At 38.4% G+C, this 17,436-nt stretch overlaps 1 long non-coding RNA gene across 1 annotated transcript; it reads left to right on the top strand.

Annotated features, from left to right (window-relative positions):
* Positions 1-882: 882 nt before the first annotated feature.
* LOC124901168 (uncharacterized) lies at positions 883-4,290 on the top strand. The gene is made up of 2 exons (XR_007059107.1): positions 883-3,024; positions 3,135-4,290. It is a non-coding gene; the product is annotated as an uncharacterized LOC124901168 (long non-coding RNA).
* Positions 4,291-17,436: the final 13,146 nt, after the last annotated feature.

Below are 17,436 nucleotides of genomic sequence, written 5' to 3'. Positions count from 1 at the left end.
TGACAACATATGAATTATGTGCACCACGTTTGAGTGCAGATGAGATATTCAGCAATATGGTTTTCATAACAAAGATAAAGATGAAAAAGACTGCAACATGTGATGAATAAAGAGCTCTGTAGTAGCCAACAGATACATGCATTTCTGTTACAAAATGCCTCTTAAGCTGAATTAATTTACTTCAGTGTCATTTTGACTTTTCAGTGCTCACCCCACCCACCCTAAAACAAGATCCTTACTCCCTGCAACATGCACTCTTCACTTAGCCTCCATCACAGGCAGCACAAAAGTCAGCTTTAAGTTCCAGGATCCCACCCAGGATGCCACATAACATTTATCTATCCCGTCCCCTTAGGCTCCTCTCAGCTGTGACACTTTCTCGGACTTGCCATGTTTTTGATGACATTGACAATTTTGAGGAGGACTGGTCAGGTATTTTGTAGAGTGTCCTCTATTGAGATTATTTGATATTTTTCTCAGATTAGACTAAAGATGTGTTTTGGAAGAAATAGCAAAAAGGTCAAAGGCCATCCTTATCACATCATATCAAGAGTGCATGTTATCAACATGACTTATTGTTGTGTTAGTATTGATCATCTGGCTGTGGTAATGTTTTTCAGGTTTCTACATGGTAAAAAATACTCTTTTATTCTCCTTTCTACACTATACTCTTTGAAAGGAAGTCACTATGCACAGCCCACACTTAAGGCACACAAACTCATGTTCAACCCCCTTCAGGGCTGCATCCACATAAGATATTTGGAATGCTTTTGCACAGGAGATCCATCTATTCCACCATTCAATCATTTATTTTACCAGTATCAACTCATGGATGCTTCCTTTATATTAAAATGTAATTGTAGTCCAATTACATTATAAAGTTTCTTGTGCAAAATGTTTCAGCTCTGGTGACTGGAAGCCATTTCAATTGGCTACCATGTCAGTTTGACATACTTCTGTAATTGTGTTTTGTTTTTATCTATTTTATTTTACATACTTATTTTTAGTACCTCCTATTTCCTGGTGATGCAAGAGTCTTCCATATGCCCATCTTCTTCTCTCTTTCAATACTTGCTTGCTCAGTCCACAAATTAGCCATTTTTCTAAGGAGTCTGGTCCTTTTTATTAGAGAACGAAATTAGAATACAAGATCTGGGATCTGCACCTACTTGCTGGTACTGAAGTGGTGTTGTTTCTAGTCCCTCTGGGCTGTCACCATGAAGATACATGCATGTACACCAACGCATACATGTACACACATCTAAAACATCGCTACATACAACCATTCATATCTGTAGCAAGCTAAGCATGAGTTCATACTTGTGTCCAGCTCTAGTCATTTACCACATGGGTTATTCTCCCCTTTCTTGTCTAGAACCTCCTACTCTATCTGTGAGAAATCTGGCGCTTACCCTCTACCATTTATTGGTTATTTCTTCAATTTAGTGTCTACATAGATAGCATTATCAGAATTGTGAACCCATTCCCCTGTCATCACCTGAAGTAAAGCGCTCTGTACAGTTTATGTTGCCTTTAGTGTGAGAGACTCCACCCATTCCCAAAGTTACATAGACTGGTTTCTTTTCATACACTCTTTTCAATGGGTTTGTTTCATACATTTGTAATACCTTTAGATTGTTTTGTCACATTCTGCATTTTATGGTGCAATTCCATCAGAAAGTACATAATTCTTTTTTAATTTGCATGTACTATGATTCATTTTTTTTTGCTATAAAGTTCTATGGGGTTTGGCTAATGGAAAGTATATAAATGATTACAGTGTCATACAGAATAAAAAAACAATTCTTCCTTTGCTGCTTCTATTCCACTCTTCTCCTTTCTCTGAACTCCTTGAACCCAATGATTATTTTGCTGTTGTTGTTGTATGAATCTCTGGTTTGGCTTTATCCAGATGTTGTATAATTGAAATGTTTTAGCCTCATGTGAAATTATGAAACAATTGTGGCTGTAGTATTCTGAATTTCCACCAGCAACGAATGAATGAGTGTACTAACTGGCTATACAAACCACAGTGGCTGTACTATTTTCATTTCTACCGGCAATGAGTGAATGAGAGTTCTTCCTTCACATTCTCATCAGTAATTGGTGTTTTGGTGTTTTCATTCCCCTACCCCTGTCTTTCTTAATTTAGCTACCCTAATAAGGTATATAACCGTAATTTATTGCTGTTTTAACATGCATTCCATGAATTAGACTAAGGATACACTATAAGTATTTTTTTCAAATGTTTATTTGCAATCAGTATAGATATATATAACTTTTTCCCTGGGGTTCAGAGATTTTGCCCAATTTTTTGTTTTTTGAGGTGGTGTCTCGCTCTGTCACCCAGGCTGAAGTGCAGTGGTGTGATTTTGGCTCACTGCAACCTTCACCTCCCGGGTTCAAGCAATTCTCCTGCCTCATCCTCCCCAGTAGCTGGGATTACAGGTGCCCACCACCAGGCCCGGCTATTTTTTGTATTTTTAGTAGAGACGGGGTTTCACCATGCCAGCCAGGCTGGTCTCAAATTCCTGACCTCAGGTGATCTGCCCGCCTTGGCCTCCCAAAATGCTGGGATTACAGGCGTGAGCCACTGTGCCTGGAGGATTTTGCCCACTTTTTAATTAGGTTGTTTGTAACTTATAGTTGAGTTCTAAGAGACTTGAAAAATATTTTTAGATATAAACTCTTTACAAATATACACTTTGCATATATTTTCTTCCATATTCACTTAGCATTGTCTTAAGCAGAGAGGAAAGTTTTGAGTTTAAGTCCTCCTCCTCCTCCTCCTTCCTCTTCCTCTTCCTCTTCTTCTTCTCCTTCTTCTCCTTCTTCTCCTTCTTCTCCTTCTTCTTCTTTTCTTCCCTGGATAGTTCTTTGTATTTGGATCTGAAAACTCATCATTGGAGGTGACGTGGAGCAAGACGGCCAAATAGAACACCCCAGTAATCAACACCCCCAGCAAAAACTTCAATTTGAACAACTATCCACACAAGAAGCACCTTCATAAGAACCAAAAATCAGGTGAGTGATCATAATATTTGGTTTTAACATCTAAGTAAGGAAGGAGGCACTGAAGAGGGTAGCAAAGAATCTTGAATCACCTACACCAACCCTCCACTATCTCCTGGCAGTGACCTGTTGCACAGAGAGAGAATCCGAGCAGTTGGAGGAAGGGAGAGTGCAGTGATTGTGGGGATTTGCATTGGAAGTCAGTGCTGCCTGTCACAGCAGAAAGAAACGCAAGGCAGAATCCAGCCAAGACCTACAGAGGGACCACTAAGATCAGCTCTTGCCAGAGAGGAATCATCTGTTCCAACAGTCAGAACCTGAATTCCAGCAAGCCCCACCACCATGGGCTAAAGTGCTCTAGGGTTCTAAAGAAACTTGTAAGTCAGTCTAAGCCACAAGGACTGCAATTCCTGGGTAACTCCTGATGTTGTGGTTGTCTTGTTGACAGTGGACTTGGGGGGCACATGACCTAGTAAGACACCAGTTGGGGTGGCTAAGGGAGTGCTTGTGTTACCCCTCCCACAACCCTAGGAAGCACAGCTTGAAGCTCTGCGAGAAACTCCTTCTCTCCACTTGAAGAGAGAAGAAGAAAGAGTAAATAGGACTTTGTCTTGCAACTTTTATACCAGTTCATTGACAGTAGGATAGGGCAGCAGGCAGAGTCATGAGGCCCTCATTTCAGGCCCTAGCTCCTGGATGATATTTCCAGACACACCTTTGGCTGGAAGGGAACCTACTACCCTGAAAGGAAGGAACTAGACCTGGAAGGATTCATCACTTGCTGACTAAAGAGTCCTTGGGTCCTGAATGATCAGTAGTGACAGCGAAGCAGTACTTACCGTGGGTCTTGGGTGAGACTCAGAGATGTGCTGGCTTTGGGTGAGATTCAACATATGCCAACCTGTGGTGGCTGTGGAGAAAGACTCCTTCTGCTTGAGGAAAGGAGAGGAAATAACAAAGGTTATATGGTTTGGCAGTGTCCCCACCCAAATCTCATCTTGAATTGTAAATCCCATAATTTCCAAGTGCTGTGGGAGGAACAAGGTGGGAGGTGATTAAATTATTGGGGTGGGTCTTTTCTGTGCTGGTCTTGTGAAAGTGAATTGGTCTCATGAGATCTGATGATTTTAAAAATGGGACTTTTGCTGCACAAGTTCTCTCTTTGCCTGCTGCCATCCACATAAGATGTGACTTGTTCCTCCTGGCCTTCCACTGTAATTTTGAGGCCTCCCCAGCCATGTGGAACTGTAAGTCCAATAAAACTCTTTCTTTTGTAAATTGCTGAGTCTCAACTATGTCTTTATCAGCAGTGTGAAAATGGACTAATACAAAAGGGGACTTTGTCTCGCAGCTTGGGTACCACTTTGGCCACAGAAAAGTAGAACACCAAGAGAGCTCCTGTGGTCTCTGATTCCAGTCTTGGCTCCTGCAGTATTTTTGGATCCTCCCTGGGCTTGAAGAGGATCTACTGCTCTGAATGAAGAGAATCAGGACTGCAGCATTCAATACAAGCTAACTGAAGAGCCTTTAAGGCTGCAGTGATCAAAGACTTAGATCACAACACCCAACCTCCTTTGAATACTTGGAAAACCTTCCAAAGAAAGATAGGTACAAACAATCCTGGACTGCAAAGGCTACTATGAATACCTAACTCTTCAATGCCCAGAAACCAAAGAATATTCACAAGCATCAAGACTATTCGAGAAAACATGACCACACCAAATGAACTTTATAAGTCATCAGTGACCAGTCCTGGAGAGACAGAGATATGTGAACTTTCGGAAAGAGAACTCAAAATAGCTATTTTGAGGAAGCCTAACAAAAGTCAAGATAACACAGACAAGGAATTTAGATCCTTATCAGATAAATTTACCAAAGGGATTGAAATAATTTAAAAGAATCAAGCAGAAATTCTATAGCTGAAAATGCACTTGACATACTGGAGAATGCATTACAGTCTCTTAACAGCAGAATTGATCAAGCAAAAGAAAGAGTGAATGAGCTCAAAAACAGTCTATTTGAAAATATACAGTCACAGGAGACAAAAGGAAAAATAAGAGGAATATGGTACACTTATAAGATCTAGAAAATAGCCAGAAAACAAGTAAAGAGAGATCTAGGTAGAAAGTTTATTTAAAGGGATAACAGATAACTTTTCAAACCTAGAAAAAGCCATAAATATTCAAGCACAAGAAGGTGATAGAACACCAAGCAGGTTTAACCCAAATAGTACAACTTAAAGATATTTAATAATCAGACTTCTGAAGATCAAGGAGAAAGAAAGGATCCTAAAAGCAGCAAGGGAAAAGAAATAAATAACATAAAAGTAGCTCCAACATGCCTGGCCACAGAATTCTTTGTGGAAACTACAGGCCAGGAGACAGTGGCATCACATATTTAAAGTGCTGAAGAAAAAAATAGTTCTAGAATAGAATATGCAGTGAAAATATCCCACAAACATGAAAAAAAAATAGACTTTCCAGACAAACAAAAGCTGAGAGACTTTATCAACAACAGACATGTCCTACAAGTAATGCTAAGGGAATTTCTTTAATTAGAAAGAAAACAACATTAATCAGTAATAAGAAAAGATCTGAAGGTGCAAGATTCACTGGTTATAGTTAACACAGAAAGACACGGTATATTATAACACTGTAACTGTGCTGTGTAAACTACTTGCATATTGAGTAGGAAGACTGAAAGATGAACCTATCAAAACTAATAATCACAACAACTTTTCAATACAGAGACAGTATAATAAGAAATAAATATAAATAATAAAAGTTGAAAAGCAGAAGGATGAAATTAAATGTAAAGCTTTTATTAGTTTTCTATTTGCTTGTTAGTTTGTTTATGCAATAAGTATTAAGTGTTCATCAATTTAAGAAAATGGGTTATAAGACATTATTTCCAAGTCTAACAGTAACTTCAGATAAAAAAATGGCAGATACACAACAAATAAAAAGCAAGAAATTAAAACACACCATCAGAGAAAGTCACCTTCACTAAAAGGAAGACAGGAAGAAAAGAAAAAAGAAAGGCCACTAAACAACCAGAAAACAAATAACAAGATGGCAGGAGTAAGTCCTTACTTATCAATAAAATACATTGAATGTAAATAGATTAAACTCTCCGATCAAAAGACATGGAGTGAGTGAATGTACATATATATACATCGGAACCCTGTTAACATATAGCACTTGTTTATATTATATATACTATGTATATATAATTCAGATATATATACCATATATAAATATATAATTCATACACACATGCACACACACACACACATATATATACTCATTCCAACCCTTGTTTATATATAAACAAGACTCAGTTATCTGTTGACTTACAAGAAACTCATGAACACAATTTACCTGTATAGACACATGTAGACTGAAAATAACGGGATGGCAATTATATCAGAAAAAAAATAGATTTAAAGACAAAATTTATAAAAAGAGAAAAAGAAGGTCATTATATAATCACGAAGTAGTCAATTCAGCAAGAGGATATAACAGTTGTAATCTGCACTAAACACTAGAGCACCGAGATATATAAAGCAAATATTATTAGAGCTAAAGACAGAGATAGATCCCAATAAAAGAATAGCTGGACACTTCAGCATCCCACTGTCAGCCCTGGACAGAGTATCCAGACAGAAAATCACCAAAGAAACAACAGACTTAATCTACACTATAGACCAAATGACGCAATAGAAAAGAAAAACCTATTTTGTGAGGAGAAACTCAAGCCAGCTGCAGAAATTTGCATAAGTAACTAGAAGCCAAATGTTAATCACCAAGACAATAGGGAAAATGTCTCCAAGGCATGTCCGAGAACTTCATGGCAGCCCCTCCCATCACAGGCCCAGAGGCCTAAGAAGAAAAAATGGTTTTGTGGACCAGGGCCAGGGCCTTGCTGCTTTGTGCAGTCTCAGGACATGGGACCCTGCATCCCAGCCTTGGCTAAAAGGAGCCATCTTAGAGCTCAGGCCATTGCTTCAGAGGGTGCAAGCCCAAAGCCTTGGAAGCTTCCACGTGGTGTTGGGCCTGCAGTTGCACAGAAGTCAAGAATTGAGGTTTGGGAACCTCCACCAAGATTTCAAAGGATGTATGGAAACATCTGGATGTCTAGGTAGAAATCTGCTTCAGGGGTGAGGCTCTCTTGGAGAACTTCTGCTAGGGCAGTGAAGAAGGGAAATGTGGGGTCAGAGCCCCCACACAGAGTCCTAACTGGGGCACCACCTAGTGGAGCTGTGAGAAGAGGGCCACTGTCCTCCAGACACCAGAATGGTAGATCCACTGACAGCTTGCACCATGCACCCGGAAAAGCCAGAGACACTCAACACCAGCCCATGACAGCATCAGGGAGGGAGCCTGTACCCTGTAGAGCCACAGGGGTGGAAGTGCCCAAGACCATGGGAACCCACCTCTTGCATCAGCATGACCTGGTTGTGAGATAGGGAGTCAAAGGAGATCATTTTTGAACTTCAAGATTTGACTGCCCTGTTGGATTCTGGACTGGCATGGGGCCTGTAACCCCTTTGTTTTGGCCAATGTCTCCCATTTGGAATGGCTGTATTTATCAAACTCCTTTACTCCCATTGTATCTAGGAAGTAACTAACTTGCTTTTGATATTACAGGCTCATAGGCAGAAGGGAATTGCCTTGTTTCAAATGACACTTTGGACTGTGGGCTTTTGAGTTAATGCTGAAATGAGTTAAGACTTTGAGGGACTGTTGGGAAGGCATGATTGGTTTTGAAATGTGAGGACATGAGATTTTGGAGGGGCTGGGCTGGAATGATATGGTTTGGCTGTATCCCCACCCAAATCTTATCTTGAATTCCCACATGTTGTAGGAGGGACCCAGTGGGAGGGTGTGAGAATGGACTAATATAGAAAATTGGTACCAGAAGATTGGGACACTTCTATAAGAACACTTGAAAATGTGGAACTAGGAAACAGGCAAATCTCAGTCACATTATAATGCTCAGTGTTGGAGGTGGGGCCTGGTGGGAGGTGATTGGATTATGGGAGTGGTTTCTATGGGTTTAATGGTTTAGCACCCCCCCAGCCATTGCTGTCCTTATGGTAGATTTCTCACAAGATCTGGTTGTTTAAAAGTGCGTAGCAGCTCCCCCACCATTTCTCTTGTTCCAGCCATGTAAGATGTTCCTGCTTCCCCTTCATCTTCTTCCATGATTGGAAGTTTCCTGAGGCCTCCCCAGAATCCAAGCAGATGTCAGACGCATGCTTCCTGTACAGCCTGTGGAACCATGAGCCAGTTAACACTCTTTTCTTTATAAATTACCCAGTCTCAGTTATTTCTTTACAGCAGTGTGAGAACAGACTAATACAATAACTAGGGGTAAACTTAAGCAAAGATGTGAGAGATCTCTGCAATAAAAATTACAAATATTGATGCAAGAAATTGAAGAGGAGGCAGAAAAAGGAAAAATATTTTATTTTTATGAATTGGAAGAGTAAATATTATTGAAAGGTCCATACTACCAGGAGCTATCTATAGATTCAATATAAACTGTATCAAAATACCAATAGTATTCTTCACAGAAGGAGAAAAAAAAATTAAAATTTATATGAAGCCACAAAAGACCTAGAAGAGAAAAAACCATCCTGAGCAAAAAGAAAAACAAAAAAACCGGAGGAATCACATACCTGACTTTAAATTATACTACAGAACAGTAGTAACCAAAACAATATGGCACCAGCACAAATACAGACACATTGACTAATGGAACAGAATAGAGAACCGGAAATAAATCTGTACATCTACAGTGAACTCCTTTTTGGCAAAGATGATAAGAACATGCATTGGAAAAAGGACAGTATCTTCAATAAATGGTGCTGGGAAAACTGGATAGCCATATGCAGAAAAATGAAACTAGACTCCAACTCTCATCATATACAAAAATCCAATAAAAATAAATTCCAGATTTAAATCTAAGACGTCAAATTACGAAACCACTAAGAAAAAACATTGGTGAAACCCTCCAAAACATCGGTCCTGGCAAATGTTTCTTAAGTAACACCCAATAAGCACAGACAACCAAAGCAAAAATGAACAAATGGAATCATGTCAAGTTAAAAAGTTTCTGCACAGCAAAGGAAACAATCAACAAAGTGAAGAGACAAACCACAGAATGCGAGAAAATATGTGTAAACTATTCAACTGACAAGGGATTAATAGGAGCTGAAGCAACTCATAGGAAGAAATCTAATAATCATGTTAAAAGTGGGCAAAATATATGAATAGATATTTCTCAAAAGAAGACATACAAATGGCAAACAGGTATATGAAAAAGTGCTCAACATCATTGATCATCAGAGAAATGAAAATCAAAACTACGCTGAGATATAATCCCATCCCAGTTAGTATGACTTTTATCCTAAAGACATGCAACAACAAATGCTGGAGAGGATGAGGAGAACAGGATGTGGAGAAGATGTGGGAAAATTCTTAGTTTCTGGGAATATAAATTAGTACAACCATTATGGAGAACAGTTTGGAGGCTCCTCAAAAAACTAAAAATAAAACTACCATATGATCCAGCAATCCCAGTGCTAGTTATATACCCAAAAGAAAGGAACCCATTATATCCAAGAGATATCTGCAGTGTCATTTTTATTGCAGCACTGTTTACAACAGCCAAGATTAAGAAGAAACCTAAGTGTTTATCAACAGATGAATGGTTAAAGAAAATGTGGTACTTATTAACAATGGAATACTATTCAGCTGTAAAAAAAAAAAGAGAGAGATTCTGGGGCCAGGCATGGTGGCTTACACGTGTAATACCAGCATTTGGGAGGCCAAGGCGGGAGGACCACCTGAGGTTGGAAGTTCGAGACCAGCCTGACCAACATGGGGAAACCCCATCTCTACTAAAAATACAAAAATTAGCCAGGCATGGTGGCTCATGCCTGTAATCCCAGCTATTCGGGAGGCTGAGGCAGGAGAATCGCTTGAACCTGAGAGGCGGAGGTTGCAGTGAGCTGAGATTGCGCCATTGCACTCCAGCCTGGTTAACAAGAGTGAAACTCTGTCTCAAAAAAAAAAAAAAAAAAAAAAAAAAGGAGAGATTGTGTTATTTGCAACAACATGGATGAAATTGGAGGCTATTTTGTTAAGTGAAATAAGCCCGGCACAGGAGGACAAATTTCACGTGTTCTCACTTATCTGTGAAAGATAAAATTTAATACCATTGAACTCATGAAGTTAGAGAGAAGAATGATGGCTACCAGAAGCTGCGAAGGAGAGTGGGTGGTAGAAATTGGGATGGCAAATCGGTACAAGAATATAGTTAGATAGATCAAATAAGATCTAGTATTTTATATCAGGACATGGTAACTGCAGTCAATAGTAAATTATTACACATTTTAAAGTAACTAAAATAGTATCATTGGATTGTTTGTAACAAAAAGAAAGGATAAATATTTGAGGTGATGGATACCCCACTTGCCCTAATGTGATTATTATGTATTTTAAGCCTGTGTCAAAATATCCCATGTACCTTATAAATATATATTCCTACTGTATGCCCATAAAAAATGAAATTAAACCTCATCATCAAGGCCAAGGTCATCTAGTTTATCTATAAAATTATAGTTTTATGGTTTATGTTTAAATCTATGATTTCTTTTGAATTAATTTTTGTGAAAGGTACATGATTGGTATTTAGGTTTTTTTTTTTTGCATATAGACATACAATTGTTTCAGCACTGGTTGTTAAAAAGACTATCATTTATTAGTTTAGTTATCCACATACTATAATCACCTAATACCTTCTTACCATTATTACTTAAACTTTCATTTTTACATTTATTAAGAATAAGAAAAACAAAAAAGATTTTGTTTTCTTCATTTATTTTTTTCTCTGATGTTCTTATATACAGAATTGAGATTTTTTATCTATACCAGTTTTTTCTTCTGCAAAGAATATTTGCATTATGTTCTTTGCAGAGGAAGAAACTGGCATAATATTAGGTTGGTGCAAAAGTAATTGCAGTTTTTGGCATTCCATTTTTTTTTTTTTTTTTTTTTTTGAGACCGAGTCTCTCTCTGTCACCAGGCTGGAGTGCAGTGGCATGATCTCCGCTCACTGCAAGCTCTACCTCCCGGGTTCACGCCATTCTCCTGTCTCAGCCCCCCAAGTAGCTGGAACTACAGGTGCCCACCACCACGCCTGGCTGATTTTTTGTATTTTTAGTAGAGACGGGGTTTCACCGTGTTAGCCAGGGTGGTCTCGATCTCCTGACCTCGTGATCTACCCTCCTCGGCCTCCCAAAGTGTTGGGATTACAGGCGTGAGCCACTGCGCCCGGCCCAGTTTTTGGCATTACTTTCAATGGCAAAACTGCAATTACTTCTGCACCAACCTATAAAAACACTAACATTTCCTCTGTTCATGAGCCATGTTTTTAATGCTGGTTTCAAGATTTTCTGATTGTCTTTGGCTTTCAACAGTTTGACCATGGGGTGTCTTGTGTGGATTTCTTCTTGGACTTTGTTGAGCTTCTTTTCCTGCTATTACTGCTTCCTGTGTTCTTCCCTTCCTTTCTCTCTCTCCTCTTCTGGAATTCCCATTCCACATATTTGGTACAGTTAATGGTGCTACTCAGATCCCTGAGGCTCTGTTCATTTTCATTTGTGAATTTTCTCTCTGTTCTGGAGATCAGATAATTTCTATTAGTGTATCATGAACTTCATTGACTTTTTTCTTCTGGTGTCTCAAATGTACTAGACTTTTCAATGTCACAATACACACATCATCCTTTTTATGATGTATATTTTTATCAACCTTCTTTGGGTGTAAGTAATAGGCATACAAAATTTTCTTTAACTTTTAATTTTTTTTTTAATTAAAAGCTGTTTAAACACTGTTTTAAAGACCTTTTGTAAGTCCAACATCTGAAACCCTCAGAAAATGTTTCTATGTATTATGATTTTTTCGAGTTTCATTGAAAGTCTCATTTTTTTTAAGCCTCATCCAGGGATCCACCCTTATCCATCCTGAGAATTATTGTTGTTACCCGTTTTCTTTGTTTAAATTGGTAACTTATCTGGAAGTGTTCTATGAAGTCTGTCTCTCCAGCAATATGCAGCTACTGATATCTCTGTGAAGATTTTTGTTTGTTTGTTTAATTCTTGATTTTATTTTTAATTCTGGTTTTCTAAGTGTATGCCACATCAGCACAGCTTAGAGGTCAGCCAATGACTTATCAGATGATCTGTTCAAACTCCTTGAGCCAACAAGACTTACACCATTTGCTGCTGCATCTGTGTGTGGATTGGAGAACACATCTAAATGTAAAAGTCTTCCCTGGATCTTTCTTTCTCCTGGCCTTTCTTGTGTTCCCTCCACATGTAAACATCATCTCACGTTTAGACTAGAACATGTGGATAGCTGGGACTCTCTCTGGTTTCTTCTTAGTGTGTGCACAGCCCGTAGAGGTGAAATTCCAGACGACCAGCATTATGTGTTAGCTGACAAAGGCCCATTGCAGCTGTGTCATTCCCTACATCTCTTGGTGAAATATCTGACAGGGTTGCTGGTCAGCTGCTTGGCCCCACTGAGATTTCAACTTTAGATCACTCATAATGTTGGCTTTCGCCATGCATTTGCTGCTGAGATGGCCACCATTTCCAGTGTTGCCATGGATTTGGGGTTTTTTTTGTTCCAAATCAAGGAAGTTCTCTTCTCCAGAACAAAGTTCTTGAGTTTCACAGCTTGCTTCACTCTTATAAAATCTCTGTGTTAATAGATCAGGGAAGGGATGGGAGCAGCCTTAGACAAACAGGCCGCAGAGTTCCACTGTTCTAACCCTAGGTTGAATAGTTTCTCCTGAATGAATGCTTATCAAATTTTGTATAGCTTGCATTAATTTCTGGGGTTCTAAAATTATGTTTTTGACAGTTTTGTCCAATTTTGTCATTGATTTTGGAGGAGAGAATTTGCAGAGCTTCTCACCCCACTGTTACAGAAAAGGAACTCCATTAACAATTACATTTTATTATAATTAGTTCCCTTTTCCAACTTATTGCATTAAGCATATTCCAGGAAATAGGTTTTCACATGTGCCCTAATAATTTTAAAGATTAAGAGAAACTTATTTGTTAGCTTATTCTAATCGCATTTGTGGCTAAAACAAAAACTTATATTCTGCTAAATTTGAAAGCCTTCCAAAATGCCATTTAGAGTTTCCTCTCAAATGCCTCCCCCACTTAAAAAAAAGACCAAATGAAGTATAATAGAACTGCTGAGAAGATTTGCTATAATCTTTTTTTTGCCCAATTTTGCAGTCCAAGTAAAGCTACTTTAAAGTCCTTTTACATTCCTGAATGAAGATGAACTGATTAAGAAAAGCCATGAAGAGAGTCACATCGCTGGCTTAAAGTGGATGATAGAAGCCTGTCTGTGCAGCATCTTACAGAGAAGCTCACTTCCTCCAGCTTCAATTGGGAGCAGAGTCTGTGGCTGGAAGGATGATCTCTATTAAAAAGTCCCATCCTAAGTTATGGGTACACCATGGATCAGGACATATTTTTAAAATTTGGAATGCTAATCCTCTGTTTCTATTCAAGATACTAAATACAAATTTTAAGTTACTTAGATACACTTTTGAAATCAAGTTCTGAAGGAGATACTTATTATGCTAAAATGCATACTTTTGTTAATTCAGTTGAAACATTTGAAAATGCATGCATTCACTACATAGAAAAGAAGTCATATCATACAATATGCTTGAAAGAAAAAATAATTTCCTTATGAATCTTATTTGGAATTTCAAAGCTTCAGACATCATCTATTTATATACAACTTCATGGCTGAATTCATCTTTTAGAAGGAATAGGAAAGCATCAATAAATCCCTGGGATAGAATAGAGAATATTTTCTAATATGCAGGTCTAAATACTCAGTTGAAACAAATGTTTGTGATATTGTCTTTATATGTCTCTATCTTCAGTTCAGGCTTTAAAATAGGCATTAATTAGGTATTGCTCATAAGGTACACTTGATTCAAAACTAAAAACATATTATCAAACCATTCACCATTATATCCCTCTGAAAAAACAAAATGATCAAATTCACTGCCTGTATAATCCCCAGATTAAAAAATTATATTTCTCAAAATTGCTGTAAAATCTATCCTTTTAAAATATTTTTCACCTGAAAATCTTGCCAACTGTTATTTTATCAAACCCAGTTCATTGTTTTTTAAAGCCACTTTATTAAGATATGATTAGCATTGAAAAACCTATACATATTTAATATTTAACACTTTATGAGTTTGGAGAAAAGTCTATACCCATGAAATCATCACCACAATCTATACCATGAACCTATCCATCACCCCCAAAAGTTTCCAATCACCCTCTGCAGGGCAGATTCCTCCCTGTCTGAGCCTTCTCAGTTCCTGCTGACATCTCAGTCTGTGGCCTTGTGGGAAACTCAGAGAGAGAAACCCAGTGAGGTACTGCCCAGGTTCCTGACCCATAGTATACAAGATAACAGATGTTCGTTATTTTAGGCTGCAAAGTTTTGGGCTGATTGGTTATGCATCAGTAGATAAATAATAAGGTTATTTAATTTAACAAAAAATAGAAAATAATATTTTTCAATACTTTTTAAAAAAGAATGAACAGAGAAAGAGCAAGAGAAACATGTGACTGAGTGTATTCTTAGCAACATGATGGAAGGAGAAAGGAATAGTATATTAGAGAAAAGTCAAGAGAATGAGGACTGAAAATTTCTTGATTAACAAAAATATTACTTCAAAGGAAGTAATATATTTGAACATATTAAAGTTTCAACCTTTGAAGTTTGTGGTTGTCTTATCAAAAGGAAGAACAAGGTTGTGGCAAAATAAGGAAACAACCAGGGCATGGAAGCAGGAAAATTGGGCAAGAATGAGAGCAGCAGGTGGAAGATTCATTGAGCATGCAGTAGTGGACTACTTGGGATGCTTCAACTTAGGAATGACTTGAGCATATTGATTGGTTCAAAGAACACTGGTAGAGAGAGTATGAGTTTGAAACGTTAATTTAAAAAAAGAATCACAATTTTTGGAGCAGATCCATTAGGTGGAATGGAGAAGCCTTGCAGATCCCTCTGGAAAAATGAACCATGGAGAGTCCCAAATTCATGACCCATGCCGAGTCCTCAGAGTCTAGCCCATGGGAGGCTGCTCTGCCTCCTTGGTGTTTACCGTCCATCTGATTCTCCAGCAACACAACATGTGGAGGGCAGTGGGTGGGAGCTAAAACAGTCAGAATATGGTGCTAAAGGAACAGGTTGGCACCACCCTACACGGATTTATCTCTTTCCCTGCTACCTGTTTAGCTCTTGATGATTCTTCTTGGTTGCTTTTAGAAATGGTTACTCAGTATGTTTCATTTTTAGATTTTTTCCTGCCCTCATTCCTTTGTGTTACACAGTCAAACTACAGTTCCTAGAAAAAGATATTTTCATGAAGTTGATGCAATTTAAAAATTAATGTTACCTTTATTAGAATTTTAAAACAGCATGGGCTTCAAATCTACATTTGTGATAAAACTGATCTTGTTGTTTCTGGTTTGTTTGTTTGTTTTTTTCCCTAACAATGGTTATAAAATTAAAGAAAAAAATGAGAAAGCTTTAACCTAATGGATTTTTTTCTGATTTGCATGCAATGCTTTTCAAGAACAAGGTATATATTTATTTCTGCGGTTAACAATCCATTTCTCTTAAAATTTTAGAGGGTATCATGAAGGAAGCATGCATACGTGTGATCCACAGGGCCTGAGGTTCTTTGACATCAAGTTGATTTTTCTAACCCACAGAGTGATATTCTAGCACTTAATTTAGAAATGCAGCTTAAATCACAGAAGCCATAATATGTCAAATGATCCCACACTCGCAGGGGGAAAACAGTAAGTAATGAAAAAGCTATGATTGCTTTTCTGTCCCTCCAAATGACAGTTATCACCTCAATGACCTGCTCCGGGCGGACCAGTCTAAACCTGACACACTAAGGGATAACGTCATCTAACAGGGTAGTTACAAAAATCAATACAAAACCCATTTCAGAGATACTCTGTGTAAGAATCCTGGTGTAATGTTCATTTATTGAATAGGCCTGGGGAAAAAAACACAACAACTTTTCTGATATATATGCCTTACCTCCCAAGCAAAGGAATTCTGTAGGTAAGCAATAATTGTATTTTTCAATCTATTACTTAGACTTGCCATGGCTCAGGCTGGAATCTAATATATGGGTGATGGCTGTAACTCAATTATGGGGCCTCCACAGAGTCCTAGTGTATTCAAAGAGTAAAGACACAGAACAGGATAGCCCCCTAAGCTTCTCTTGGAAAATGTGTGTGCCTTTGTGTGTCAGTGTGTGTGAATGTGTGTGTGTGCACTCTTCATTACAAGCTCCTCTTGTTGCCTTTTTGGCTACTAAGGAATTTGAATATTTAAATTATGACGTTTAACTAGTTAATGTAATTTCCTTGGATCCCTTGCTCTTAATTTCTCGTCCCGTGCATGTTAGATCCACAATGGGAACAAGTTCATTCTTGTTGAAAAAACAGATGTGCAGAGGCCATGGCTGGTTGGAAGGGCCATGTTAAATGTTGGAGGTTGACAGCCCCAGCCGAGGGCAGCCATGGGGCTCTCCCACTTGCACATCTGCATGACAGCAGCTGGGACAGAACCCTGGGCTTGGTAAATCTTGGGCTCAGCCAGAGAGGCAGTCATGAGAAATAGCTGAAAAATGGCACGTAGTGGGGACGCCCTCGACAGCAAATTGCAAAGAAATATTCTGACAGCTGGAAAAAAGATTTTAGCTTGAATTAGTTCTACTCCTGGGAAAGCTAATGTAACCTGCTAAATCAACCTACACACCAGAAGTCCAATCATCTTAACCTTCACACTTGATGACCATCACACAGCTTCATTACCTGGATGTTCTGATTCCAAATGAAGAGTCATCGTGACATTCTTCAAATCACGGAATATTAACACGAGCACTGTATGGTCAGAGTAATGCATTTTCAGACTCTTTATGCTAATTTCTTAGGGCCAATACTCATTGACAATACTGCTTATTAAACCTAGTAATGAATTGGACTTTAATTATTTTCAACTCCCGTATCATCTTCTAAATAGGTATTTATGAAATGACCTAGAAAGTCTTATTATGACAGCTCTTGCTTGCTTGTTCAACAGGTTCCCAAATTTGGATGATGTTTTGGCTGTCATCCAAACATTATATGAATGCAGTTATTGGACCCAGAGTCACATTCAGCTGTCTCATCTTACGCCAATCAATCATAATCTCGATAGTTGTCATGAAGTCCACACACGAGCAACAGACAACTACAGAGATGAATGCCTGCATGGAAAATCGTAAGGTGAA

This window comes from Homo sapiens, chromosome 5 (assembly GCF_000001405.40).
Source record: "Homo sapiens chromosome 5, GRCh38.p14 Primary Assembly".
Taxonomy (NCBI): Eukaryota; Metazoa; Chordata; class Mammalia; order Primates; family Hominidae; genus Homo; species Homo sapiens.
This window is presented reverse-complemented; position numbering and strand designations above follow the sequence as displayed.